Source organism: Homo sapiens, chromosome X, assembly GCF_000001405.40.
Source record: "Homo sapiens chromosome X, GRCh38.p14 Primary Assembly".
Lineage (NCBI taxonomy): Eukaryota > Metazoa > Chordata > Mammalia > Primates > Hominidae > Homo > Homo sapiens.
In genome coordinates, this window is record NC_000023.11 from 53,520,307 (window position 1) to 53,547,184 (window position 26,878).

The 26,878-nt window shown below is 46.0% G+C and overlaps 1 protein-coding gene across 50 annotated transcripts in view; it reads right to left on the reverse strand.

Annotated features, from left to right (window-relative positions):
* The window catches only part of HUWE1 (HECT, UBA and WWE domain containing E3 ubiquitin protein ligase 1), a 154,624-nt gene continuing 139,535 nt past the window's right edge, over nt 11,790–26,878 (reverse strand). For 34 of the 50 annotated variants that reach the window (NM_001441051.1, XM_047441751.1, NM_031407.7 and 31 more), the window contains 16 exons: nt 26,398–26,519; nt 26,130–26,286; nt 24,723–24,855; nt 24,254–24,456; nt 23,535–23,662; nt 22,137–22,233; nt 19,351–19,506; nt 18,529–18,774; nt 18,031–18,148; nt 17,250–17,390; nt 16,074–16,361; nt 15,841–15,946; nt 15,078–15,195; nt 14,210–14,391; nt 13,701–13,891; nt 11,790–13,105 (listed from right to left, as the gene is read on the reverse strand). In NM_001441051.1, coding sequence (NP_001427980.1) covers nt 13,003–13,105; nt 13,701–13,891; nt 14,210–14,391; nt 15,078–15,195; nt 15,841–15,946; nt 16,074–16,361; nt 17,250–17,390; nt 18,031–18,148; nt 18,529–18,774; nt 19,351–19,506; nt 22,137–22,233; nt 23,535–23,662; nt 24,254–24,456; nt 24,723–24,855; nt 26,130–26,286; nt 26,398–26,519 — 2,489 coding nt within the window. In that variant the 3' untranslated portion in view covers nt 11,790–13,002. The remainder of the gene's footprint in view (nt 13,106–13,700; nt 13,892–14,209; nt 14,392–15,077; nt 15,196–15,840; nt 15,947–16,073; nt 16,362–17,249; nt 17,391–18,030; nt 18,149–18,528; nt 18,775–19,350; nt 19,507–22,136; nt 22,234–23,534; nt 23,663–24,253; nt 24,457–24,722; nt 24,856–26,129; nt 26,287–26,397; nt 26,520–26,878) is intronic. The other 16 variants (NM_001441048.1, NM_001441049.1, NM_001441050.1 and 13 more) reach the window with 1 other exon arrangement.

The following is a 26,878-nucleotide window of genomic DNA, read 5'->3' on the forward strand; positions in this document are numbered from 1 at the left end:
GTGGGGGAATAAGGGAGGAGACCACCCCTTATATTGTTTTATGACCAATTTCTGCCTCCAAAGACAGAAGAAGTAAAAACTAAAAGCCAGAAATGAAATCCACAGGCAGACAGCCCAGCGCTGCACCCTGGGCCTGCTTAAAGATCGACTCCTGACCTAACCAGTTATGTTATCTATAGATTCCAGACATTGTATGGAAAAGCACTGTGAAAATCTCTGTCCTGTTCTGTTCCGTTCTAATTACTGATGGCATGCAGCCTCCAGTCACATACCCCCTGCTTGCTCAATTGATCACCACCCTCTCACGCGGACCCCCTTAGAGTTGTAAGCCCTTAAGAGGGACAGGAATTGCTCACCTGAGGAGCTCGGTTGTTGGAGACTTGAGTCTTGCCAAAGCTCCCGGCCGAATAAAGCCCTTCCTTCTTTAACTCGGTGTCTGAGGGGTTTTGTCTGTGGCTTGTCCTGCTACACCAGCTACTTGGGAGGTTGAGGCAGGAGAATGGCATGAACCCGGGAGGAGGAGCTTGCAGTGAGCCAAGATCGTGTCACTGCACTGCAGCCTGGGCAACAGAGCAAGACTCTGTCTCAAAAAACCAAACAAACAAAAAACTGTTAGTGGCAGCAAATCCATATGTGTCTGTGGCAATGTTAGATATGAATTCTAAATTTCTCTTCAAAGAATCAATATGTCAGTATGTTCAATTCTTTGCCTTGTACTTTTAAACTTAACTTCCTTGTAAAGCAACCTTTTTTGATTACCTGCTCCACCCTGACTCATTCCGATTACCTGCTCATTCTCCACCCTGACTCATTCCGATTTCCTGCTCTGCCATAACCATTTTTCCTGCCAAACCACTCACCCCATTACTCTCTTTAAATTAGCCAATTGTATTAGTTTAGCCTGTGTGGTCTAACCCTAGCCAATAGGGAAAAGACACAGCAGCAGGGGCCACATGCGTCAGGGATAAGAACCCCTTCCCCTCCCTTGTCCAAGTGTGTGCTCACCATTGCTCCATCTGTAAGGGTGCACCCTTCTATAGAAGTACATTGCCTTGCTGAGAATTAAAAAGAATATTTTATATTCAAGTGCTGTTTCTTTTGCAGCACTGAAACTTTATTTATAACAGCAACCTCAATTCTTGCCTCCTTGAAGAAAGAATTTGACTGAGGGGTACAAGGCAGAGTGAGAGACTGAGGAAAGTTTTAGAGCAGGACTGAAAGTTTATTAAAAAGCTTTAGAGCAGGAATCAAAAGAAGTAAAGTACATTTGGAAGAGGATGTAGCGGGCAACTTGAGAGATCAAGTGTGCATAGTTTGACCTTTGACTTGGGGTTTTATACATTGGCACGCTTCTGGGATCTTGCATTCCCTCTCCCCTGATTCTTCCCTGGGAGTGGGCGTGAGCATGCATAGCAGCCTGCCGGCGCTTGGGAGAGGAGCATGCACAGTGTGTTTACTGGAGTTGTACGCGTGCTCACTTGAGGCATTCTTCCCTTACCAAATGTCCCTAGAAAGTCATATACATCTTACTGTGCATGCGTGAGTCCACTTGTCAAACTCCTGAGATATTGGGAAGCTGTTGATCACCAGTTTCAGGTTTTTCTATCTATCAGGAGACTGCCTTTCCCTGGCACTGGCTGCAACCAATTATTATTTTAGAGAGATAGTTAACAACCACTTGACCATCACCTGATGGTCACCCGACATTCCTGGTTAGGGGGGAGGGGGCAGGGCCCTCTCCTGCCCTGCTCATGTCTGACTAGCTACCCTACCCTACTGTAACAAAACCACATAGCCTAGAAATATTGAAGACATTAAGAAAAAGGTGTGTCATGAATGCATAAAATACATGTAGATGCTAGTCTGTTTTATCATATACTACCATCAAATATACACAAATCTACCATAAAATGTTAAAATTTATCACAACTTATGGGCCAGGTGCAGTGGTTCATGCCTGTAATCCCAGTACTTTGGGAGGTTGAGGTAGAGGATTGCTTGAGCCCAGGAGTTTGAGACCAGCCTGGACAATGTAGCGAGACTCTGTCTCTACAAAAAATAAAAAATTAGCTGGGCGTAGTTGTGCATGCCTGTAGTCCCAGCTATTCAGGAGGCTGAGGTGAGAGGATCACTTGAGCCTGGGAGGTCAAGGCTGCAGAGAGTGGTGATCAAACCACTGCACTCCAGCCTGGGTGACAGAGCAAGACCCTGTCTCAAAAAAAAAAAAAAAACCCAAAACAAAACATGCACAGAAGCTGGGTGTGGTGGTGCACACCAGTATTCCCAGCTACTTGGGAAGCTGGAAAAAAAAAAACAAAAAAACTGAGGCACACACTTAAAGATTGTACATGGTACCCTTCCCAGTTGAAAGAAATATAAACAAATGTAAAGATGCGGTATTAGATTATAACTGCATAAAACTGTAGTACATGCTGTACTACTGTAATTATTTCATAGCCTGTTGCTATTGTGATGAGCTCAAGTTTTACAAGTATCTGCTTAAAAGGCTGTGTGATGCCAGTCTTCTCCCTGAGCAGTTAATCTCTCCAGTAAATAGTGTATCTCAGAAAAAGTGATCTCTCACAGTTCTCAAGTATTTTTACTGTGTTTAGTGCAATACTGTAAGCCTTAAATATTACCACAGGACCCATAAAAAGTGCCAATAGTGATGCTGGAAGTGCTCCCAAGAAGCAAAGAAAAGTCAAGACATTCCAAAAAGTTGAATTGCTTGATATGTGCCACAGATTGAGGTCCGCAGCTGGAGTTACCCACCATTTCAAGATAAGGACCATTGTAAAAAGGAAAAGGAAAATTTTGAAGCCATTGCTGCAGCTTTGGCAGCAGGTATGAAAACCTTGTGCTTTCTGTGAAATACCTTTTTATCTTGTATTTAAAGTGCAGCTTTTATGTGGGTGTAGGATTGCCATAAGAAAGGCATACCTATAGATTCTAATTCTAGAAAAAGTGAAGTCATTATATGACAAAGAAAGGTGAAGGATCTAAAGCTGGATAATTTAATGCTAGCAAGGATGGTTTGATAATTTTAGAAAGAGCGTTGGCGGCCGGGCACGGTGGCTCACTCTTGTACTTTCCCAGCACTTTGGGAGGCTGAAGTGGGAGGATCGCTTGAGCCCAGGAGTTTGAGACCAGCCTGGGCAACATAGTGAGACCTTGTCTCTACTAAAAGTTCAAAAAAATGTGCTTGAACCCAGCAGGTCAAGGCTGCAGTGAGCCCTGATAATGCCACTGCACTCTAGCCTGAGTGACAGAGTAAGACCTGGTCTCGAAAAATAAAAATAAAAATAAAAATAAGAAAGAGGTTTGGTTTAAAGAATGTCAAGATAATCCAGGCATGTGCAAGCCTGTAGTCCCATCTACTTGAGAGGCTGAGGCATGAGGATCAACTGAGCCCAGGAGACCAGGAGTTTGAGGCCAGCCTGGGTAACATAGTGAGACACTATCTCTATAAATAAACAAATAATAAACAAACAGACAAACAAATAAATAAAAAAAGTCAAGCTAACAGGAGAAGCAGCTTCTGCCAACTAAGAGACAAGTCCCCAGATGCCATTAAGAAAATCATTGAGGCCAGGTGTGGTAACAAGCCTGTAATCACAACACTTTGGGAGGCTGAGGTGGGAGGACTACTTGAGCCCAGGAGTTTGAGACCACCCTGGGCAACATAGCAAGACCCCTTCCCTACAAAAAATAAAAAATTAGCTGGGTATGGTGGTACATGCCTGTAGTCCCAGCTACTCAGGAGGCTGAGGTGGAAGGATGACTTGAGCCCAGGGGGTCAAGGCTGCAGTGAGCCATGATTGTGCCACTGCACTCCAGCCTGGGCCAACAGAGTGAGACCCTGTCTCAAAAAAAAGTAATAATAATAAAGAAAATCACTGAGGAGAAAGGATATCTGCCTGAACAGGTTTCAAATGCAGATGAAAGTGCCCTATTTTGGAAAAAAAGATGCCACAAAGGACGTTTATTAGTAAGGAATAGAAGTGAGCAGAAGGATTTAAGGCAGGAAGGGACAGACTCACTCCTCTATTTTGTGCAAATGCTACTGGGTTTATAATCAGGACTGCCCTTACCTATATAGCTCCTAACTTCCGAGCCTTGAAGGAGAAAGATAAACTACCAGCTGCTGGTCTTTTGGTTGTACAAGAAGGCCTGGGCAACAAGACCCCTTTTCTGGATTGGTTCCATTGATGTTTTGTCTCTGAAGTCAGAAGTACCTTGCTAGTAAGGGAGTGCCTTTTAAAGTTCTTTTGACATTAGACAATGCCTCTGGTGACCCAGAGCCCCATGAATTCAACACAAAAGGCACTGAAGTGGTCTACTTGCCCCCCAAAACCACATCTCTAATTCAGCCTCTAGATCAGAGAGTCATAAGGGGCTTTAAGGCTATTACACACAGTACTCTAAGGAAAGGATTGTTAATGCTGTGGAAGAGAACCCTGACAGAGGGAACATCACGAAAGTCTGGAAGGATTACACCACTGAAGATGCCATCATTGTCACAGAAAAAGCCGTCAAGCCTGAAATAAATTCCTGTTGGAGAAAACTGTCCTGATATTGTGCAGAACTTAACAGGATTTATGACAGCGCCAATCAAGGAAATCACGAGTTTGTGGATATGGCAAAAAAAGGTGATGGGTGAAGAACTTCAGGATATGGATCTTAGTGAAATTCAAGAGCTAATAAACACCACACCAGAGCAAGTAACAGAAGATGTCTTGATAGAGATGAGTGCTTCTGAACCGATACCAGATGATGAGGAAGAAGATGTAGAAGCAGTGCCAGGAACCAAAGTGACATAAGACAATCTGGCAGAGGGTTCTGATTACCAAAGAATACTTTTGACTTCTTTTATGATGTGGACCTTACTATGATATGGGCACTGAAACTAAAGCAAACGGTGGAACCATATAGAAAGATTGGTACCATATAGAAACATTTTTAGAGGCATGAAAAAGCAAAAGTCAGACAGAAATTACAATGTATTTCTGTAATTACACCAGTGTGCCTGCCTCTTCTGCTTCCTCTTTCACCTTCTCCACCTCTTCTGCCTCTGCCATCCCTGAGACAGCAAGACCAACCCCTCCTCTTCCTCTTCAGCCTACTCAACAACAAAGATTGAGGATGAAGACCCTTATGATGGTCCACTTCCACTTAATGAACAGTAAATCTCTTTTCCTTATGATTTTCTTAATGTTTTATTTTCTTTAGCTTACTTTACTGCATGAATACAGTATATGTTACATATAACATACTAAATGTGTGAATTGACTATGTCGAGGGAGGGACCTGATGGGAGGTGATTGGATCATGGGGTGGTTTCCCCCATGCTGTTCTCGTGATAATGAGGGAGTTCTCACGATATCTGATGGTTTAAAAGTGGTAGTTTCCCCTGAGCTATCCCTCTCTCTCAATATCTCTCCTACCACCTTGTGAAGAAGGTGCCTGCTTCCCCTTCGTCTTCTGCCATGATTGTAAGTTTCCTGAGGCCTCCCCAGCCATGTGGAACTGAGAGTCAATTAAACCTCTTCCCTGTATAAATTACCCAGTCTCAGGCAGCTCTTTATAACAGCGAGAAAATGGACTAATATGGAAAACTGGTACTGGAAGACTCAGGTACTGCTATAAAGATAATCTGAAAATGTGGAAGTGATTTTGGAAATTGGTAACAGGCAGAGGTTGGAACAGTTTGGAGGGCTCAGAAGAAGACACGAAGATGTGAGAACATTTGGAACGTCCTAGAGACTTGTTGAATGGTTTTGACCAAAATGCTAATAGTGATATGGACAATGAAGTCCAGGCTGAGGTGGTCTCAGATGGAGATGATGAACTTATTGGGAACTGGAGTAAAGGTCACTCTTGCTATGCTTTAGCAAAGAGATTGGTGGCATTTTGCCTCTGCCCTAAAGATCTGTGGAACTTTACACTTGAGAGAGATGATTTAGGGTATCTGGTGGAAGAAATTTCTAAGCAGCAAAGCATTCAAGAGGTGACCTGGCTGATTCTGAATGCATTCAGTCAATGTTCACAAAGAGATTATCTGAAACTGGAACTTTTATTTAAAAGGTAAACAGAGCATACAAGTTTGGAAAATTTGCAGCCTGACCATGAAGTAGAAAAGAAAAATCCATTTTCTGGGGAGAAATTCAAACTGGCTCCAGAAATTTACAAAAGTGAAGAGGAGCCTAATGTTAATCACCAAGCCAATGGGGAAAATATCTCCAGGGCATGTCTTCAAAGCAACCCCTCCCATCACAGGCCCAGAGGCCTTTTAGGGAAAAATGGTTTTGTGGGCCAGACCCAGGCACCCCCCCCCCCCACCCCGCCCCTTGCTCTGTGCAGCCTCGGGGCTTGCTGTCCTGCATCCCAGCCTCTCCAGCTCCAGCTGTGGCTAAAAGGGCCACGGTATTGCTCCAGCCTTTGCTTCAGAGGGTGCAAGCCCCAAGACTTGGCAGCCTCCATGTGGGGTTGGGCCTGCGGGTGTGCAGAAGACAAGAGTTGAGGTTTGGGGCCAGGCGTGGTGGCTCATGCCTGTAATCCCAGCACTTTGGGAGGCTGAGGCGGGTGGATCATTTGAGGTCAGGAGTTCAAGACCAGTCTGACCAACATGGTGAAACTTTGTCTCTACTAAAAATACAAAAAATTAGCCAGACATGGTGGCATATGCCTATAATCCCAGCTACTCTGGAGGCTGAGGCACAAGAATTGCTTGAACCTGGGGGGCAAAAGTTGCAGTGAGCTGAGATCATACCATTGCACTCCAACCTGGGTGACAGAGCAACACTCAGTCTCAAAAAAAAAAGAAAAAAGAGAGATGAGGTTTCAGAACCTCCACCTAGATTTCAGAGAGTGTATAGAGACACCTGGATGTCCAGGCATAAGTTTGATCCAGGGGTGAAGCCCTCATGGAGAACCTCTACTAGGGCAATGCAGAGGGGAAATGAGGGGTTGGAGCCCCCATGCAGAGTCCCCCCACTGGGACACTGCCTGGTGGAGCTGTGAGAAGAGGGTCACTGTCCTCCAGGTCCCAGAATGGTAGATCCTCTGATAGCTTGCACCATGCACCTGGAAAAGCCGCAGACACACAATGCCAGCCTGTGAAAGCAGCCGTGGGGGCTGTACCCTGCAAAGCCACAAGGGAAGAGCTGCCCAAGGCCTTGGGAGCCCACCCCTTGCATCAGTGTTGCCTGGATGTGAGACATGGAGTCAAAGGAGATTATTTCAGAGCTTTAAGATTTAAAGACTGCCCCACTGGGTTTCAGACTTGCATGGGACCTGGGGCCCTTTGTTTTGGCTAATTTCTCCCATTTGAAATGGGAACATTTACCCAATGCCTATACCCCCATTGTATCTTGGAAGTAACTAACTTGCTTTTGATTTTACAGGCTCATAAGTGGAAGGGACTTTCCTTGTCTCAGATGAGACTTTAAACTCAGACTTTTGAGTTAATCCTGGAATTAGTTAAGACTTTGGGGGACTGTTGGGAAGGCATAATTTGTTTTGAAATGTGAAAAGGACATGAGAATTGGAGAGGTCAGGGGTGGAATGATATGGTTTGGCCCCATGTCCCCACCCAAATCTCATCTTGAATTGTAATCCCATGTGTCGAGGGAGAGACCTGGTAGGAAGTGATTGGATGATGGGAGTGGTTCCTCCATGCTGTTATCATGATAGTGAGGAAGTGAGGAAGTTCTCATGATATCCGATGGCTTAAAAGTGGCAGTTCCCCTGTGCTCTCTCCTGCCATCTTGCAAAGAAGGTGCCTTGCTTCTCCTTTGCTTTCTGCCATGATTGTAAGTATCCTGTGGCCTCCCCAGCCATGCAGAACTGTGAGTCAATCAAACCTCTTTCCTTTAGAAATTACCCAGTCTCAATTCTTTATAGCAGTGTGAAAACAGACTAATACAGACTGTTTATGTTATTAGTAAGGCTTCTGGTCAAGAGTAGGCTATTAGTTATTTAAGGATTTTTTTTTTTTTTAAATGGTGTTTCACTCTGTCACCCAGGCTGGAGGGCAGTGGCATGATCTTGGCTCACTGCAACCTCCACCTCCCCGCACAAGCAATCCTCCCACCTCAGCCTCTTGAGTAGCTGGGACTACAGGTGTGCACCACCACACCCAGCTAATTTTTTTGTATTTTTTGTAGAAACGGGGTTTCACCATGTTGCCCAGGCTGGTCTCGAACTCCTGGACTCAAATGATTTGCCCACCTCAGCCTCCCAAAGTACTGGAATTACAGGGGTAAGCCACCAAGCCTGGCCATCTTTTTTTTTATTATTATATTTTTTGTAGAGACATGGTCTCACTGTATTGCCCAGGCTGGTCTTGAACTCCTGGACTCAAGTGATCCTCCTGCCTTGGCCTCCCAAAATGTTGGGATGACAGGTGTGAGCCAACTGTGCCTGGCTAGTATTTGAGTTTTTGGGGAGTCTAGTCATACGTGGACTTTCATTGGCACGGATGGTCAGTCCCCCATCCCCCACGTTGTTCAAGGGTCAATTGTAGTTAACATCAGGTAACTTCAGGCTTTTTTGTGTAAGGATTAAAGCAGAGGGAGCTTTATTATCATGCTGATTGAAGATTTAAACTGACTTGTTGGGGAAATTGGATGTTATCTCTCTCTCCTGATTTGTTGGAAGGTCAGGTAATAACTTAGTTTAGGTTTGGTGAAGTGGAACTTTAGTATGGGTGACTCCATTTTTATTTTGTTTGGTCTGTTGGAGCCTAGTGCAGGAGCTTAGTTCAAACCAATGGCCTCCTATAATTTTTATTTAACAGGACTGATATCTCCCTGCTACCTATCTCAAATGCATTGTAAAATTTAATAAATTATATATCTCAAAAAGGGTGTTATGAAACATTTCAGATGTATAAAAGTTATGAAGTTTCACAGTACATAGTATTACAAGGAAAATTCACTCACGTACCCAGCACAACCCAGCTTAAGAAACAAAACATCACTGAGCACGGTGGCTCACGCTTCTAATCCCAGCACTCTGGGAGACCAAGGTGGGTGGATCACTTGAGCCCAGGAGTTCGAGACCAGCCTGGCCAATGTGGTGAAACCCTGTCTCTACAAAAAATACAAAAATCAGCCAGGCGTGGTGGCATGTGCCTGTAGCCCCAGCTACTTGGGAGACTGAGGTGGGAAGATGGCTTGAGCCCTGACGGTAGAGGTTGCAGTGAGCCGGGATCGCACCACTGCACTCCAGCCTGGGCAACAGAGTTGAGACTCAGACTCAACAAAGACAAAATATTACTTTAAAAGAAAAGAAAAAGGCCAGGTGCAGTGGCTCACATCTGTAATCCCAGCACTTTTGGAGGCTGAGGTGGGCAGATCACAGGAGGCCAGGAGTTGAAGACCAGCCTGGCCAACATGAAGAAACTCTGACTCTACTAAAAATTTAAAAAATTAACCAGGCGTGGTGGTGCACACCTGAAGTCCCAGCTACTTGGGAGGCTGAGGCAGGAGAATCTTTTGAACCTGGGAGGTGGAGGTTGCAGTGAGCCGATCATGCGCCACCACACTCCTGCCTGGGTGACAAAGCAAGACTCTGACTCGAAAAAAAAAAGAGAGAAAACATCACCAATGTAGTTGAAGCCCTGTGTAACGTGCCTCTTCCCAGCCACATCCCCTCTGTCTACCCCTGCATTGTCCCATAACTTATCCTCAACATTGTGCAAGATTTTATCATCCTCATGGTTTTTCATACTCTTCATACATGTTGCATGATTTTGCAACTTTTGAGCAGGTCTTATATGTATGTACCCTCCTGAAACTTTTTCTTTTTTTGAGATAGGGTCTCACTTGCTACCCAGGCTAGAGTGCAGCGGTATGATCTCAGCTCACTGCAGCCTTGACCTCTCTCCTAGGATCAAGTGATACTCCCGCCTCAGCTTCCCAAGTAGCTGGGACTACAGGCACGCACCACCACGCCCAGCCTGAAACTTTATCATTGAGATTGTGCATGTGATGTATGCAATTGATATTTTTACTACTGTGTAGGATTCCATTGTAGGAATTTGTCACAATTCATTTATGTTAGGTAATAAGTTTATGTGAATAGTTTGTTCATTATAGCCAAGTTTCTTGCTAGACTGTTTTAAGTTCCAATACTTTTTTTTTTTTAGACGGGGTCTCGCTGTCTCCCAGGCCGGAGTGCAATGGCGTGATCATAGCTCATTGCAGCCTCGATTTTTGGGGCTCAAGCGATCATCCCACCTCAGCTTCCCGAGTAGCTGGGACTACAGGTGTGTGCCACCATGCCTAGATTAAAAAAAAATTTCAGTAGAGAGGTCTTGCTATGTTGCCCAGGCTGGTCTTGAATTCCTGAGCTCAAGCAATCCTCCCACCTTGGCCTCTGAAAGCCTTGGGATTCCAAGCATGAGCCACCATGCCCTGCTCCAATAACTTTTGACTCCGTTAGCAAATGGTTTAAGTTATACCTTTTGTTTCCTGTTTTACTGAAATAGAAAACTGCAGAATAGCAGAACAGCACTAATAGTGATAATTAGCCACCTTATCTTTCAAGTGTGATGTTGGCTGTTGGTCTGAAACTACCTTATCAAGCTAGCTTTACCTTTAAAGGTTGCCAGGAATGGTTCTTGAATGTGAACAAATGCCTTGCCATCTACGGACAAAGATTTCTCAACTGACAATGAGGCGATTAATATTACACTACACATATCCCAGGGGCAAATCACACTTGATCATGCTCTATTTTTGTAGTATCCCACTGAATGAGATTTGCTTCCATTTCCCATAGGATTATTCCATCTGTACTCCCAGCTTCCACATCCAACCCCCAACCTCCAACCCAGGAACCCCCCCTTTACTTTCAAATTTAAATTACCTGCCAGACCTTTATTTCAAAGAACCAGTTAATCTTACTGCTTATTGACAAATTCTACTCTCTGCTTATTCTTTTTTTTTTTTTGAGACCGAGTCTCATTCGGTCACCCAGGCTGGAGTGCAATGGCGTGATCTCAGCTCACTGCAACCTTCGCCTCCCGGGTTCAAGCGATTCTCCTGCTTCAGCCTCCCAAAGTGCTGGGATTACAGGCGTGAGTCACGGAACCTGGCTGGGACTGGCGCGGTGGCTAGGACTGCCAGTAGCTGGGACTGCAGGCGCACGCCAGCACGCCTGGCTAATTTTTGTATTTTCAGTAGAGACGGGGTTTTGCCATTTTGGCCAGGCTGGTCTTGAACTCCTTATCTCAGGTGACCCACCCGCCTCAGCCTCCCAAGGTGCTGGGATTACAGGCGTGAGCCACCGCACCTGGTGTATCTCTTCCATTTTAAAGTCCTGCTGGACTCTAAGCAACTAAACTCCTCCTGCCTTGAATTATATGACCCCTCTCTGCTTAACCTCAACTCCTGCTCAGCTTTAGGCTGCAATCCAAGTGCACCGACGATGGAAAGCTTTCCCTGACTCTCCAGGCTAGGTCAGGCACTTCTATGTGCACTGAGACCCCTTTCTTCATCTGTCACAAAACTAATCACTGTCTTCGCCTCCCTACTAGAAGCTCAGTAACACGGATGGGGCAATTCCTCTGCCTTCTCAGTCATCAAAGCAGGGCCAGGCACAAAAGAGTGGGAACACTAAAAAAGGGGAAAATGGCTAGCAGCCTTGGCTCCAGGACCAGGGGATCAGGTTAAAGACACACCCTTTCTTTCCTAGACCCACACTTTGGGACAAGGTCAAGGGGACAATCTGTTCAGAGGTAGCACCCCAGGAAAATGAGAAAAACCACACAAGGCAAGCACCACTTGGGGTTATTTTTTCTAACTAAATTTTTATTAAATTATTTTTTCTTTGAAGGCTGGAACCATCGAAGTCCTTAGATCAGCTTTAAGCACTGGATGGAGTAAAAACCACAAGGGACTACAAGGTGATCTGTGAACAGACTGGCAGACAGATGACGAGAGAGGGAGTGACGACAACAAAAATAGACAAACAAAAATAATGGTCTTCTGGCGACCTAGTTAAATTACTCGCTTATTAAAATTTATTAGAAATAAACAAACATTAATGAAATAAAAATCTAAAACTGAGCCCCAGACTCAAGACTACTAGAAAGGCTCACCAAGTAAAACCCTCGGTTGGGTCAAGTGAGCTCTCTGAATGTTTTGTACAACCTGCTGCAGTTTGTTCCCCTTGAGCAAGGTGATGCTTTGTCCTGGGCTGCAATCTCTAACACCATCACCATCCCCAAGTGCAGCTCCCATTCTAAAAAAAAAAAACAGATGCCCCCACCCCCAATTCCTGGTGAACTGCTCATCTCTCCTGACTGCAGAAACTGACTCTGAAGGAGGAAGTTGCACCAGTGGTGGAGGCAGGTGGGCAAGCGGGTAGGGCAGGGATGGTTTCCTGGAGAATCCATCTTTTCTCCAGATGCCTAGCATGTGCTTAAGAGTTTTTTGTTTTTTTTTTTAAGTTTGAAAAAAACTCCATTGTGAAAAGTGAGTTATGAAGAGTGCTCTTTATTTGAAACCTCCACAACACAGACGCCAATCTTGTCTCGCATTGAATCATTAGCTGTGCACATCAACACATTCCAAGCACAAATTAAGAAATGCAAACAGAACAAAAAAATATATATATATATAATTTTTTCCCCTATCCAAAGGTTTCAAGTCTCAATGCAGCAAATCCTTCTGAACACAGAATCTGAGGAGCACACTGTTCAAACAGTTGGGACAGACAGGTCCCTGCAAAGGCTACTGCCTTTTTAAAACACATGGGGTGGGGATCATGGACGGCATGGAAAGGGGAGAGAAGGTGAGGAAACAGGCGGCGGGGAGAGAATGAGAAGAGGAACAGGTATGCGCTGGGGAAGATGGGGCAGCTGGGACACACACGGTGAGTTGGTGGATTTCATTTATTGGTTTTTGACAATTTCTTTCTGGTTCTTTTTTTAACTCCCCCCTCCCCAGGTCCAACAATGGTAAAAAAAACCCCACGGAGTTGGGCAGGGCCTTATTAGGCCAGCCCAAAGCCTTCAGAGCACTCCTGGATAGCCAACAGTAGCATGTGGCGGAGCTTCTCAAAGCTCTCATAGGCAGGCAGATCCAGCTGATTAAAACTAAGGAAAGAAGAAAGATCAGTTTGTGGTGAGGGATGACAGATAACCAAATCTGTGTGTTCCCATGGTGCCCACCAGCCCCTCCCCTCCCTGAAGAAACCAACTCCCTGCTTCTTGATGACTCCCAATCTTGTCTCAGCCCAGTATGTCCCCCTTTATCTGGCTCCCAAACTGGCCATCAGGCACCAAAACCAAAAATCTGACCCTGTCACTCCTCCTTAAACACCCTGGCCTCACTCGCCCATAGGCTAAAGTGCAAACTTGAAGGTGGTTTTCAGAGTCACTGGTAATCGGACCTCTGCTGAGCTCTTTAGACTTTTGCTCCCTGCAACTCCTCCTTGCTCCAGTCACGCTGGCCCTGGAATACACCATGCTCTCTTGTGGTGCTGTTTACCTGACAGTGTCTCCCCAGCCCCCACTGTGTCTAGCACATCTCATCTCAAACATCACCTCCATAGAAACACCAAATTGTGAGTTACCCAAGGTCCAGGACTCAGCCACATTTGTGTTCCCAATCTTGGGTAGGGTCCTGAAAACATCAAGTATGCAAGCTCAACCTAAGCACTGAAAAGGAGAAACAAACCCTTCCTTTTACCATGTGTGAGCTGAAGGCAGGCGATCTGTGGACCTGTCATCTCGATGGATCTGAAACTTCTGAATGCCATTCATGCCTTCGAGGGCAGCAAAGCCTTGCAGGGGTACCTTGGAAGTACCTGTGACAAACTGGAGGAACTTGGCACGGTCAGCTTGATCGAAAGAACGCAATGCTCTCCAGAACCACTGGATCTGTAGGAAGGGACCCATGAAGCCAGTGTTAGGTAGAAAGCTCCTAGAAGCAGGGTGGGGGGGATGGAATCTAGGAAACAGGACTGGACTTGGTATCTGAGGCAAGTCCCTTCTGTGGGATGAGCTTTAGCTCCTTTCATTCATAAGACGGCCAAGAGAAGTCTGCTATGCTTCAGGAGAACAAAGAGTTAGATATAGGTAGACTGTCTTCTACATGCAACTTCCTCTAAGAGTACTACTGGTTTATTTGGTATCACACAAACTAGCGTTGCCTAGGGTAAGAGGACCATATGAGGAGGGATGCCAGCAGCAGCTCACCTGAATAGAGTTGGACTGGTACTTGTGGTATTCAGTGTTGGATTTCAGATCATCGATGTCAATGGTGGGCAGTCCTGATATAAGCAGCTCTAACTCCTGCTCAGTGAAGATGGAAATGAGGCGCTTTGGAATGATCTCATAGAAGCCTTCTAAGAAAGCCGCCAACTGCTTGCGGATGGCTCCTGGTGAGATAACCAAAAAGCCAAATGACTTCTAAACTCACACAACCGTAGAGGTCAGAGATCCCCCATCTGGCTCCCATCTACCACTGTTAGCTGGGACTACAGGCATGCACCACCACAACTGGTTAATTCTGCCCAGGCTAGTCTCAACCCCCTGGGCTCAAGCTATCCTCCTGCCTCAGCCTCCCAAAGTGCTAGGATTACAAATGTGAGCCACTGTGTCCAGTGAAGTTAAGCTGGGTTTGTTTTTTTTTTTTGAGATGGAGTCTCACTCTGTTGCCCAGGCTGGAGAAGAGTGGTGCGATCTCAGCTCACTGCAAACTCCACCTCCCGGGTTCAAGCAATTCTTCTGTCTCAGTCTCCCGAGTAGCTGGGACTACAGGCGCACGCTGCCACACTTGGCTAATTTTTTATTTTAGTAGAGACGGGGTTTCACCATGTTGGCCAGGCTGGTCTCAAACTCCTCACCTCAACTGATCCGCCCACCTTGGCCTCCCAAAGTGCTGGGATTATAGGTGTGAGCCACCGTGCCCAAAGTTAAGTATTTTTGATCAAGTGTTTTGTCTTTTGTGCAAGGCATTTGTGGCTCTGTCATAGCAGAGGAAAACAAAACATGCCTATCAAATGAATCAAGTCCGACCTCTTCTCATATTGAGCAACTAGAGGTCTAGGAACATTTCCCCTACCTGTCATTCTCATCTGGCATACCAGGTGTACATACTCCTTCTTATTCTCCTCTGTTACCAAGATGTTGGCCCCATTGGGTTTGAGGTCACGAACTTCACAAACTCCAAACTCTTGGACCTAGAACAACCAAAACACCAATCATACATATCAGACTTCATCTAGGATGGGATTAGATACCTAGGAACACACCCTAAACCCCTTGCCATGTCCTAGGCAGAGAGATGAGGCAAGTCCATACAAAACAGTGACTTTTTCTACTACTCATAGCTCGCAACTCCCCTTATAGGGAAAGGCTTTGGGTAGGAAAGAGGAAAATACTCTTTGGCTCTAAGACCTACAAAAAAGGCAGAAGAGAGTAAGGCAACTATCAGTGGTAAAAGGGAAAAGGGAATGGCTAACATATGTAACGGAATGTAATCTCTTAGGAAAAGAATTTAGGAGAAGAGTAACCTTAACTGCCTTCATTTTCCCCCCACTTACATTTGTACGATTTTTCTACAAAGACCTACCCTTGGGAATGAGGAATTATGTACTGGAGTTTTTTTTTTTTTTTTTTTTTAATAAAGGTGAAACTAGGAAATGGCCTGCAAATTCTGGTTTTCCTGTTTGTGATGTCACTCACAAACACCTGCTACAGCTTTAAGAAGTCAAGATGCTTCCTTAGAACTATGAGAAGGTCACGCAGTGCTAGTTCTAAGGTGAACCTGGAATGGATCTTCCAGATTGGCTGGGATGTGCTGTGATTAGGATTTCCTGACCTACCTCAGTGCTGAAGGTGAGGTCATAGCCTAGTGTGGAGACATCATTTTCCAGCAGATAAACCAGACCTTGGTAGAAGTGGTAATCTTCACTCTCCATATCTGTATATCTAGAAAAACACAATTATACAGGGTCATGGTTTGCGAGTGGGGGGGAAGAAGGAGCACAAGGATGGGACACAAAAAGACCAGACCCCCAGGACTGAAGACAGTCCCAGGACTATGCCTCATCCTCACCTGACTGACTTGCCCAAGATGTGTTTGTAAAAGGATCGAGTAAAGTAGCACTCCAGAAGACGGTTGTCATATACAGCTTTGGCCACAATGCGTCCGACAAACTTGAAGTAGCTGAGGTGGTTGGGGTTGCAGTGGGAAGATGGATTGATGGTGTAGGTGACTCGATCACCAGGTGAGGTACGGAACAAGGCATACATAGGGTTAAACATCTCTCGAGAGATGATCATATACCACTCCCGCAGGAGCCCACCAGCATCCTGCCCTTCTTCTCCTTCAAATACTATATACCTGCATAAGAAAGCAGAAGCAGAAAAGAGCTGTGCAGAAAACCCAGGATACATCCAGTCATTTGTGTGAGTGAGAGACTGTGAAGCAGTGTCTGGGGAGTGCAGTGTCAGATGAAGAGGTAAACAGAGAGTGCCAGGACAGCCCAGAAATGGGGTGGAGATCTGGGAGCAAACAAAAGCACCACTGACAGAGGAGATGTCCCAAAATAGTCAAGGTTAACAGATATTCCAGAAAACACCAATAGGAAAGGTATCAGAGAAATAAATGAGGCCTTGCTTAGGTGAAGTGGGGAGGGGAGAAAAGTGGTATTAGAGAGGGATAAGCCCAGAGTCCAAATTCTCTAAAGGTATTTGGTGGTGGAAGAACATGGCATACAGTCTGTCTAGGGAGACTCCCTGACTTCTTGTGATTACACAGTTGGAGAGCCCACACCACAAGAGATGGGGAGGAATCATTAAACAACTCCAATAGGTCTTTCATCTCATCAGCTCCTACGCTCAGTATTACAAACTGCTGATCTCCTCTAGGTGGCTTCAGAATCACCAGTGAGCAGTTACCAGTTTGGTGGAGGCCACTCATACATGGTCATTCCTAGTATAGCAATATTAAAGCTCTCATTGCAAAGCCAGCAGGTATATCCTTATAAACACCAAAGACTTTCCTGTCTGTCTGGGAATTGTTGGGTAGCTTAGCTAAAGGGCCAGCCAGCAGGGCAGGCCCAGAAGATAGGAGACAACTCAGTAAGATTATCTAAAACCAGATTCCTATGGGGAATTCCTATTAGGGAGGGCAGCACCTCCCTAAATTTGAGGCTAGAGCAAGCCATCGCTACTGTGCAGGAGGCCCCACCTCCCACCCGCCATCTTTTCTCCGTTCCTGGGCCCTTACAATCGATTCTTCATTTCTTCGGGGGATTTGCGATGCAGCTCACGATAGGAGTCTTCAAACACATGGTCACGACGGACATGCACAGCCATGTCTTCTTTCCGGAGCCCCTCATCTAAACGCTCCAGCTCTTGGCGGAAATATCTTGGGAGGTAGAAAAGGAAGGAAGATAGGATTAAGGGTGGCAGAACAAATTTGTTTGTGTGATTAGGAAGAAGACCCACAATGATGCTCCTTCTATCCTCCAAACACTTTGATCTCTGCTCCACACCTGTTTGGGAAATGCCCAGTAGTTGGGAGAGGTAGATCACTCATTACCAACTCTAAATTTTTCTTACCTCCACTGAGTAAGGGCCCACAAAGATTGTGACATGTGATTTCTGCCACAAGCAGGTAAGCATGTATACATGCACGAGGAGAAGGAGAGGCATAGGGATGACTCCAGGAGTGTTGTGGAAGCCCCTGGAACCCTGCTGTGTGTGTTCTATGGCCACCTGTGCCTCCTGTACTACCCCCAACGGATGGAACAGAACTTTAGAAACTGTGTGGTTCAAAAATCATGTGACTCTGTTTTGCTGATGAAAAATGCAGATGGGGTGGAGAAGCCCAGGAGTATTTAGGTATGATGGCCATCAATGCTACAGCTGTCTCTTCCCTCCTCACCACCACCATTCCAAGTGCTGTCACCAAAGGAAATTTGTGGCCTCAAGAGTAACTTCAGAGGCGAGTTACCATTTGGGGAGTTCTCACCACCCCTCTACCCCCCAATATCCAGGACACATACTTGCGCTTGACATCAAAGTCGAGGACACGAATGTAGTCTACCAGGACAGCAAAAGGCCCATCAGCAAGGTGGGTCGTGGACTGCCGTAGGATCTGGTTTAACACAGTGCGGTGAGTCTCTGAGGGGAGAAGTGACAGCAGGAATTAAGCACATCATCTGCCCCAGAAGCTGTAAGACAGCCAACCAGCTAGCAACTCTCTCTTCCTTCCTCTTCCTTATTTCAGGGCTCTAAAAGGACTAGTCAAAACCAAGGGCCAGCCCTTGAGGTGTGAACGTGAATCTGAGCATTTCTATTCTAAACCTGAGTATCCTGAGGCCAAGGGAAACCATGCAGGGTTTACGTGCACGGGTGTGTGTATGTACACACACACACACACACACACACACACTCTCTCTCTCTCTCTCTCTCTCTCTCTCATCAACTAAGGATTAACTGTATGAAACAATCCTGTTTAAAATGAAGCCTTCTACACCTGGCAGCCTAAAAGTTCCCTGTACCTGCAAAGCGAAGGAACTTCTGTGTGTCAGGGGGCAGGCTTGAGGAGATGTGCATAGATGAGGGCTCCCGGGAGAAGAATGGGTCAAGGGAGGAAGGCGTGGCTGGGGTTAAGGGGGCAGGGGAGAGTGGAGGAGGCTCGTCCTTGATGTGTGCCAGCTGGCTCTCACGGGTGTCTCGGACAGGAGGCTTGCTCTCCCGCTCTGTGGCATGGACCAGAAAGAAGGCCTCGACAGCAGGCTGTAGCACTAGGGTTAGGAATGATGGAGAAGTAACATTTTACTCTGCAAACTTCAACATGCAAACCTCTTTGCCATCATAAACAAATTATAAAAATAAATAAGGAAGAAGAAATAGTGAAAACTAGGCTAGGTGTGGTGGCTCACACCTATGATCCCAGCACTTTGGGAGGCCGAGGTGGGAAAATTGCTTGAGCCCAGCAGTTTGAGATCAGTCTGGGCAACATAGTGAGACCTCATTTCTGATTTAAAAAAAAAAAAAAAAAAAAAAAAGAAACAATGAGAACTTGCAGGGAAATATGGTAGAATCAAGTCACAGAGGAACTTCCTTGAAGCCAAAGAAAAATGGGATAGCTAACCAGTTATAAAGATTCCCCTTGTCTATAAAGTGAAAGACACCAACTATTAAAAGAGAAGGTCAATCTTTTTTATACTGAAGTCAGAGAAAAAACACTTCTCTTTTGAATTCTCATTACAGAGACACTGAGGGAGAGGAGTAACCTGGAAGGAAGAAAAACAAGCTGGCAGGAAGGGCCCCAGAGCAGACCACTGGGTTGGGACCTGGGCCTTTAGGACACAACTCACCTAGCACCGCATGCTGGTCATGGGATTCCTCTAGTTCCTTTAGACACTCCCCAAGCATGTCCCACAGCTCGTCCAAACTCAGCTGCTCGCTGAGCAGGGGTAACTCAGGTGGTCTTTCTTCCTTTTCCTTCTCCCCCTGTGGGGTTCCATCGGAGGCTGGAGGGCACACAGAAGAGAGTCAGAAAGTCTTCAAAATTTCCCTTCTGCTTAGATCTTTCTAGACCACACGCACCAACTAATATACAGAACAAGTAGAGGGGACCACTGGCCACTGAGTGGTACTCACCGAGCAACATCTGAAACAAGGTCTAGGACCTGCATTGGATGGCATTTACATTAAACAGAATAAATAAAATAATGAATCTGGTTCCTCAGTTGCGCTAGCCACATTTAAGGTGCTCAAAAGCCACAGGTGCTACTGCAGATCCAGATAGTGCTAGTCTAGTCACTGCCTCACTAGTTTCAAGAGAATCTGTGGATTATTTCAGGGTAATGTAACAACAGTGGAGCTTTGGATGGTTGCCTTCCAGTTTACACAGGATGTTTTAGGACACTTTTGTCATTGAATTCTGACAGCTGGCCTTGGAAAGTAGGCTGTCTTTTCCTCATTTTGGTTTCTGAGGAAGACAGCACCAGGACATCAAACTAAATCTTTCTAACCTTAAGTCTAATGCCTTTTTTTTTTTTTCCCTGAGACAGTCTCGTTCTGTCGCCCAGGCTGCAGTGCAGTGGTGCGACCTTGGCTCACTGCAACCTCCGCCTCCTGGGTTCAAGCGATTCTCCAGCCTCAGCCTCCTGAGTAGCTGGAATTACAGGCACAAGCCACCATGCCCGGCTGATTTTTGTATTTTTAGTAGAGACTTGGTTTCACCATGTTGGTCAGGCTGGTCTTGAACTCCTGACCTCGTGATCCACCTGCCTTGGCCTCCCAAAGTGCTGGGATTAGAGGCGTGAGCCACCACGCCCGGCCTTCTAATGCCTTCTAAATTAGTCATCTTGTCCTGGGGCAGTTTAAAACCCTGAGAAGCCATGGTATGACAGATGGAATCCCATGGCTGGTACTTTTCCTGATACTCACTGGGGGCTTATTCTAACCTCTGCTCAGTAGCTAAGCAGCAAGACACAACCCCATCTTCTGGGTGGGGAGTAAGTGACTGTTTTCTCATCAACCCCTGATCCCCATACACCTGGCCCTGCTTAGGTTTCTTCCTGACCTTTGCTGTTCATCCTTTACCCAAATCCTGACTATTCTTCAAGGTTCTGACAGCCTTAGGTTTGAATCCTGGCTCCGGTACTTGCAAATCATATGACCTTAGGTAAAAGAAGGTGAATACAGAACACGAAAATAATATCTATCTCCCCAAATCCTGATGAAAGGTAGGATAACAATGGTTGTCCTACAAGAATACTATTCCATGGGAATGTGTTATGAGGGTGCCAAAATGTATTCTATGTATGACTGACTTTGAGAAATGCTGCTAACAATAGCATTCATCGTGTGCTTCTCTAACCACTATACATGTTTTAACTCATTTAATCCTAACAACTGAACATTCCTATTTTAAACAAGGAAACCTAACAAAGAGGTTTGCCTCAGGTCCCAGAAGCAGTAAATGGGGGAGCCAAGATTTAAAACACGGGAGACTAAGGCTGGTCGGCCGTGGCTCATGCCTGTAATCCCAGCACTTTGGGAGGCCGAGGCAGGTGGATCACTTGAGGTCAGGAGTTTGAAATCAGCCTGGCCAATGTGGCGAAACCCTGTCTCTACTAAAAATACAAAAAAAAAAATTAGCCAGGCATGGTGGCAGGCGCCTGTAATCCCAGCTACTTGGGAGGCTGAGGCAGGAGAATCACTTGAATCCAGGAGGCGGAGGTTGCAGTGAGCCGAGATTGCACCACTGCACTCCACCCTGGGAGACAGAGCTAGACTCTGTGTCAAAAAACAAAAAAGAAAGAAAGAAGACATGGGAGACTGAAGTGAGAGGATGGCTTGAGGCCAGGAGTTCAAGACCAGCCTGGGCAACATAGTGAGACTCCATTTCTACAAAGATAAAAAAAATTAGCTGGGCATGGTGGCCTGTCCCTTACAGTTCCAGCTACTCAGATAGCCAAGGCAGGAGGATCGATTGAGCTCAGAAGTTTGAGGTTGCAGTGAGCTATGACTATGTTACTGTATCTTAGCTTAGGTGATGGAGAAAGACCCTGCCTCAATAATAAAACAAAAGATTTAAAACACATGCTGGGCTGGGCGCAGTGGCTCATGCCTGTAATTCTAACACTCTGGGAGGCCAAGACAGGTGGATCACCTGAGGTCAGGAGTTTGAGACCAGCCTGGCCAACATGGCGAAACTCGTCTCTACTAAAAAAAATACAAAAACTAGCCAGGTGTGGTGGTGGGCGCCTGTAATCCCAGCTACTTGGGAGGCTGAGACAGGAGAATTGCTTGAACCCAGGAGGCAGAGGTTGCAGTGAGCAGACATCGTGCCACTGCATTCCAGCCTGGCGACAGAGGGAGACTGTCTCAAAAACAACCACCACAACAAGAGAAAACCCCATAAAAACATGCTGTCTGAATGCATGATATCCCACCATTTTCTTTCCTTTACTACAGGAAAGAAAAGTGTGCCTTGGTTGTCAAACACCTGTCATCATTTACAGAAACCAGGGTTTACTGGAACAAATGGGAAAACACTGGGCTTATATATGCTGGGAGCAGGGGATTCAGCAGACATTCCAGAAGACTGGCTATCCCTTTTGCTCGGCTGGAAACAGGAAGTAGTACTGACCAATGGATTGAGTATCTTGAGCACTGGGAGATGGCTGGTCCACATCCATGGGTGATTCCTCCCTCCGGACAGACGCCTCTGACTGGCTAGACTCCGACTGGATAAAAGGGAGACAAAAATCACATAAGGGTGCAACTCTGCTTTCCTTAGAGACAGGCTAGAGGTTGGCCCTTCCACTTCTCATACATTGAGCTTGCAAAGAAGCTTCCCATATTTGGGTGGGGAAAACTGTAGCTATCCAGGACAAAAGGATGCCTTTCCCAACTCTTCTGCTTTTCTCCACTGTGTTTTGTAAGCTTTTCCCAACAGCTCCTTGGATGCTTACATTTCCTACAGTCTACAATCCAGACCTGTGACCAGTCAGAACTAGCCTCCTGTATATAGACTTCAAGTCTTCTTCTGTTGTGTGTGTGTGTGTGTGTGTGTGTGTGTGTGTGTGTGTGTGTGTGTATAAAAAATTCAGATGGGTGGAAGGTAGGTCTGCTCTTTGTTTCTGTTTGCTCACAAAAGGGGAAATAATAGGAGAATTAGAGCAACCTCTCATGAGCGGGATTATTTAAAAAGCCGACATCTTTTCGTGTAATGGGAAAGAGACTCGGCAGAAAAAATACTCCAGAATAACAGCTTTATTTTCCCTTTCTACCTTCCTGGAGTCACTGCCCCTAAGTTCAAGGCTTTTCCCTGCCTACTCAATAAAACCATACTGTATAATAGTAATTATACGCAAAGAAATATCGGGTCTTAGGATACCTTTCTTGGATCTTGGAAAGGTAACTTACATGTTGCAAGGACAGGAAAACAATGAGGGAGTGCCACAGCATACACATGTGATGCCAGGCTTTTACTGCAGCCACTCAATGCCGGGACCCCAACACTGAGCTGGCTACTTAAGTACCTGAAGGTTTCCTCCTAAAAGTGCCTGAGTGCCTAGGTGCCAAGGGATTATGGAGAATAAAGGCAGAGGGCAGGGTGGAGGGAGCAGCCACAGACAGAAGTGGCTGTGTGGGATATGTACCAAGCTTGGGGGACTTTCAATGGTAGGATTCCTGAGATGTTTCTGATGTACCTGCATTGTTCCATGGGACTGAAAAAAAACTTCACCCCATAACCCCTCAGAACCCAGACAACACTTAGCATCAGGCAGTTTGCAAAAGCGCCACTGTTGACTGGATAGCTGGGAGTGGGGTATGATGGCCAAGCTTTAAATCAAATCAAACCAACAAACCAATCAACAAATAGGAAAACACCAACAGAAAGTAACCCTTTTGTCCAGAAGCATTCATATAGCAAACTTAATGCAAAAGCATACAAGGTAAAGGCAATGAAACCCCACTGATGACATGGTGGGGGGATGAGTGGAGAGACAAATGAATGAGGGGCCACAGGCATCATGCTAACCGTTGCTGCTTGTTGCTGTCTCCGCGCCCTTTGACCCTCACGTACCATTTGTATAATGGCATCAGCCTCAGCCTCCAGCTGCCGAACAGCTGCCTGGATGCTGCTAGCTGAGCCTAAACCGGAGGAACCTGGGAGAAAGAGAAAGAGGAAGGCAAGATATAAAATATAGGAAGAGGGAAAGCCCAATATTCTCTCTCCTATCTCCTGGGCTGCCACAGGGCATCTTGCTGAGGTCTTTTGAGCTTTAGCTCAGGAAGCTTCAGAGTGCTCATCATCAGGCGCTAAGATTTACCATTACAGATAAGGGCAGGGGGCATGATGCTAGACAGACGGATGGTTTTGTGCGAGAGGGTTCTGTGGGACAGGAGGAAAGAGGTAGGGAAAATGATTTGTCAAGCCACGGCTTAGTTAGAAATGACCAAGGAAGCAGAAAGGAGATGCACCTAGTGAGTTAAGTCTTGTTCAGCAAAAGGCTGGCCCCCAACTTCCCTGCCAGATTTCCACTCCCCCTTAATTCCCACTCCCCCTAATGAATTTCCTACGCAGATAGCTTGAATGAGATGTAGAATGCAGCCATCAACATTCTGAAAAAAGGATAATCATTTTCCTTTTGGAAAGGTCAAACAGGAAGGAGACAGGCCGTTAAGTCCTGCACCTCCAAGGAATCTGGCTTTACCGCCACCAACCCTTCCCCTCAACTGGACACTCTAGTTCCATACCTAGCCTGCCTGTCTGCTTGGCTTTCTTGTTAGCCCGGCGCGTGTCGTCCCGGAGCTGGATGATGACCTGTAGTACCCTCAAGAAGAACTTCTGGGTAGATGTCTTGGATGTCAACATGGACATAGAAGGCAGCTGGAGCTCCCGGCCACCCAAAGGTCGCTTCTGAGATGCCACAATTACCACATTCTCAGCCATGTCAAACCTGGATAGTGTAGAGGTGGCTTGCGTATATTGACAGCATCAAAGTATAAACACCCAAAGCAAGCAAGGCTTCCTGGTGTCAACCAGAGGGGTAAGGAAACTCAGAAGGAAATCTTCCAAGTAGGAAGTAGAAAAAAATGGGTCAAGTGTGTATAGGAAAGATACGAAAATCACCCAGAGAAATAAAAAAGACCAGGAAACCAGCAAGAGCCATCTTCCAGAATATCCCAGATTCAAGCCCCCAGCCAAAGGGTGGCTACCACCCACCTGCTCTGCATTTTGCCCTTCAGCTTGGTGGTCTGTGGCTGCTCCTCAGGCAGGCCATCAGGAGAGAGGGTTTCACATTGGGCTCGCCGCTGCTGCTCGAGGTTGTATTCCCGCAGCTCGGCCAGCAGGGTACCTGAGCAGGCAGAGGAGTCAGCAAGTGTTCAGAGACTCCCCTGGTAAAGTGGCTAAAAGCCAAATCTCTCTAAGACACCTGCTTAGGCCACTCTTCATTGCTCAGCTGCAGAGAACCTAGAGTGAGCTGGAATCGTGCTCTGTTCAGCTTATTATGCGTGTCCACGAACCGTCACCTGGGACTACCAATTTACCTATGGCCACAGGGATCTGCTGAATCTGCATGAAATGAGTTTCATGTAGAAGAGAAACAGTATCTCCTCTGGAGCTAAACAGACCATGGTTGAAATCCCATATATCTCTCAAAATTACTGAGGTTCTGTGGTGGTTTCAGGCAAATTTCTTGACCCCTTACCCAATTTGCTAACCAATATTAATACTGGGATGGGAATATTACTGCCTAACCTCATAACGTTGCTGTGACAATTAAGAGATAATTATATGGTAGAGTGCCTAGACAGTGCCTGGCCCATAGGTGTGGAATAGATGGTGGCAGCCAAGAGAGAAAGGTCAGAGGCCAAATTCTTTCTGGAAGAACGTTGTAATTTTCATGCAGCAAAGAACACCCTGAGTTATACAGGCCAACCAACTCTCCTATCACCCCAGACTTAGGGACATGGGGGTGAAGGAGAGAGAGAACTAAGTATGTAGCCAAGATCTAGGGAGACTCATGATTGGGATGAGGGTGGGACAGGGTAGACAGACTCTATGTTGAAAGAAAACCTGGCTGTACTCCTTGGTCCAATCACTTTATCACCCTGGGTTTTGGCTTTCTTCTCAGTAAAACAGGGAGGAAGATGATAGAAACGAGGTAATTTGTAACTGTTCTTAGAATTTTTATACCCTCAAAATTACACAAAAGCAGAGAGTACTATTCTGACTCTGTAATTCCTGAGGCTGAATGCAGTGTAGGGACATACTTTGAAGGGGTGAAGCTGCCTCAGCTGTCTTATGGGGCTCTTACGAGTGCCCAGCATGGAGAAGAAAGGAGGCGCTGCTGTTCCCATGTGTTCTCTTTTCTCTTCATTAAGCACCACTGTGTGCCGGGCAGCGGGGATGAGGAGACAAACCCAGCCTTGCTTTCAAACAACTGAGCAGAGGAAAACAGATGATAACCCAGGGTAATCTGTGTTACGACAGAGGGAGCATGGAGGCTGTGTTATAGGGATATGGAGGTATCTGATTCAGCTTGGGGATTCAGGAAAGGATTCCAGAAAGAGGAAGCACCTAAGTGGAAACCTTCAGAAAGAGAAAATGCTTTACTTCTGCTATTACCTATTTGTTTACAAAGGGTATAACCCAGATGGCGGGCTCCATTCAGTAGCAGCTTGAGAACAGTGTCCCGGGTCCCAGAGTCCCCCCGGGAGAGCTGCAGTAGTACGTTGGCTGCATCCTCTAAGCCTTCCTCAGAACAAGAGTGGGATGTCAACACCTGAGAAAAAGAAGACAGAAGGAGTAAGCCCCAGCCTGAGAACAAAATCATTATCTACCCTGTTTATCCTTTCTCCCCAAGTCTTAGCAGATCAGAAGAGCTTGGACTCACCTCTACAGAGAGCTGTAGCTGGTTTTCAGTGAGGCCAGAGGACACCATCTTAAAGTCTGTACTGCTGCTGCCCCCATCACTCACCTTCGCTGGAGATTTGCTGCCCTTAGTAGTGGGAGAAACTTTGAGGAAACAGACAGAACACTGTAAGCCTCTCTGAAACTCACAAGCCAGGGACTAAGTGACAAAATCAAGGAATCGCTGAATTGCCCAGGGCTTCAAAATGGGAAAGTACTGAAAAAGAAAACCCACCCACCAAAGGCAAATCTAAATGACTTGGGATGATAAAGGCTTTTTATTTTTTATTACAGACACGGTCTCGCTCTGTTGCCCAAGCTAGAATGCAGTGGCACAATCACGTCTCACCATAAACTCAAAGAGGACTCTTATGACTGTAACTTCTAAGCTGAAAAAGAAACCCCAGGCATTTCTTCCAACTATTCCCCCACCATCATGGCCCACTCTATTCTTTAAAACCTAC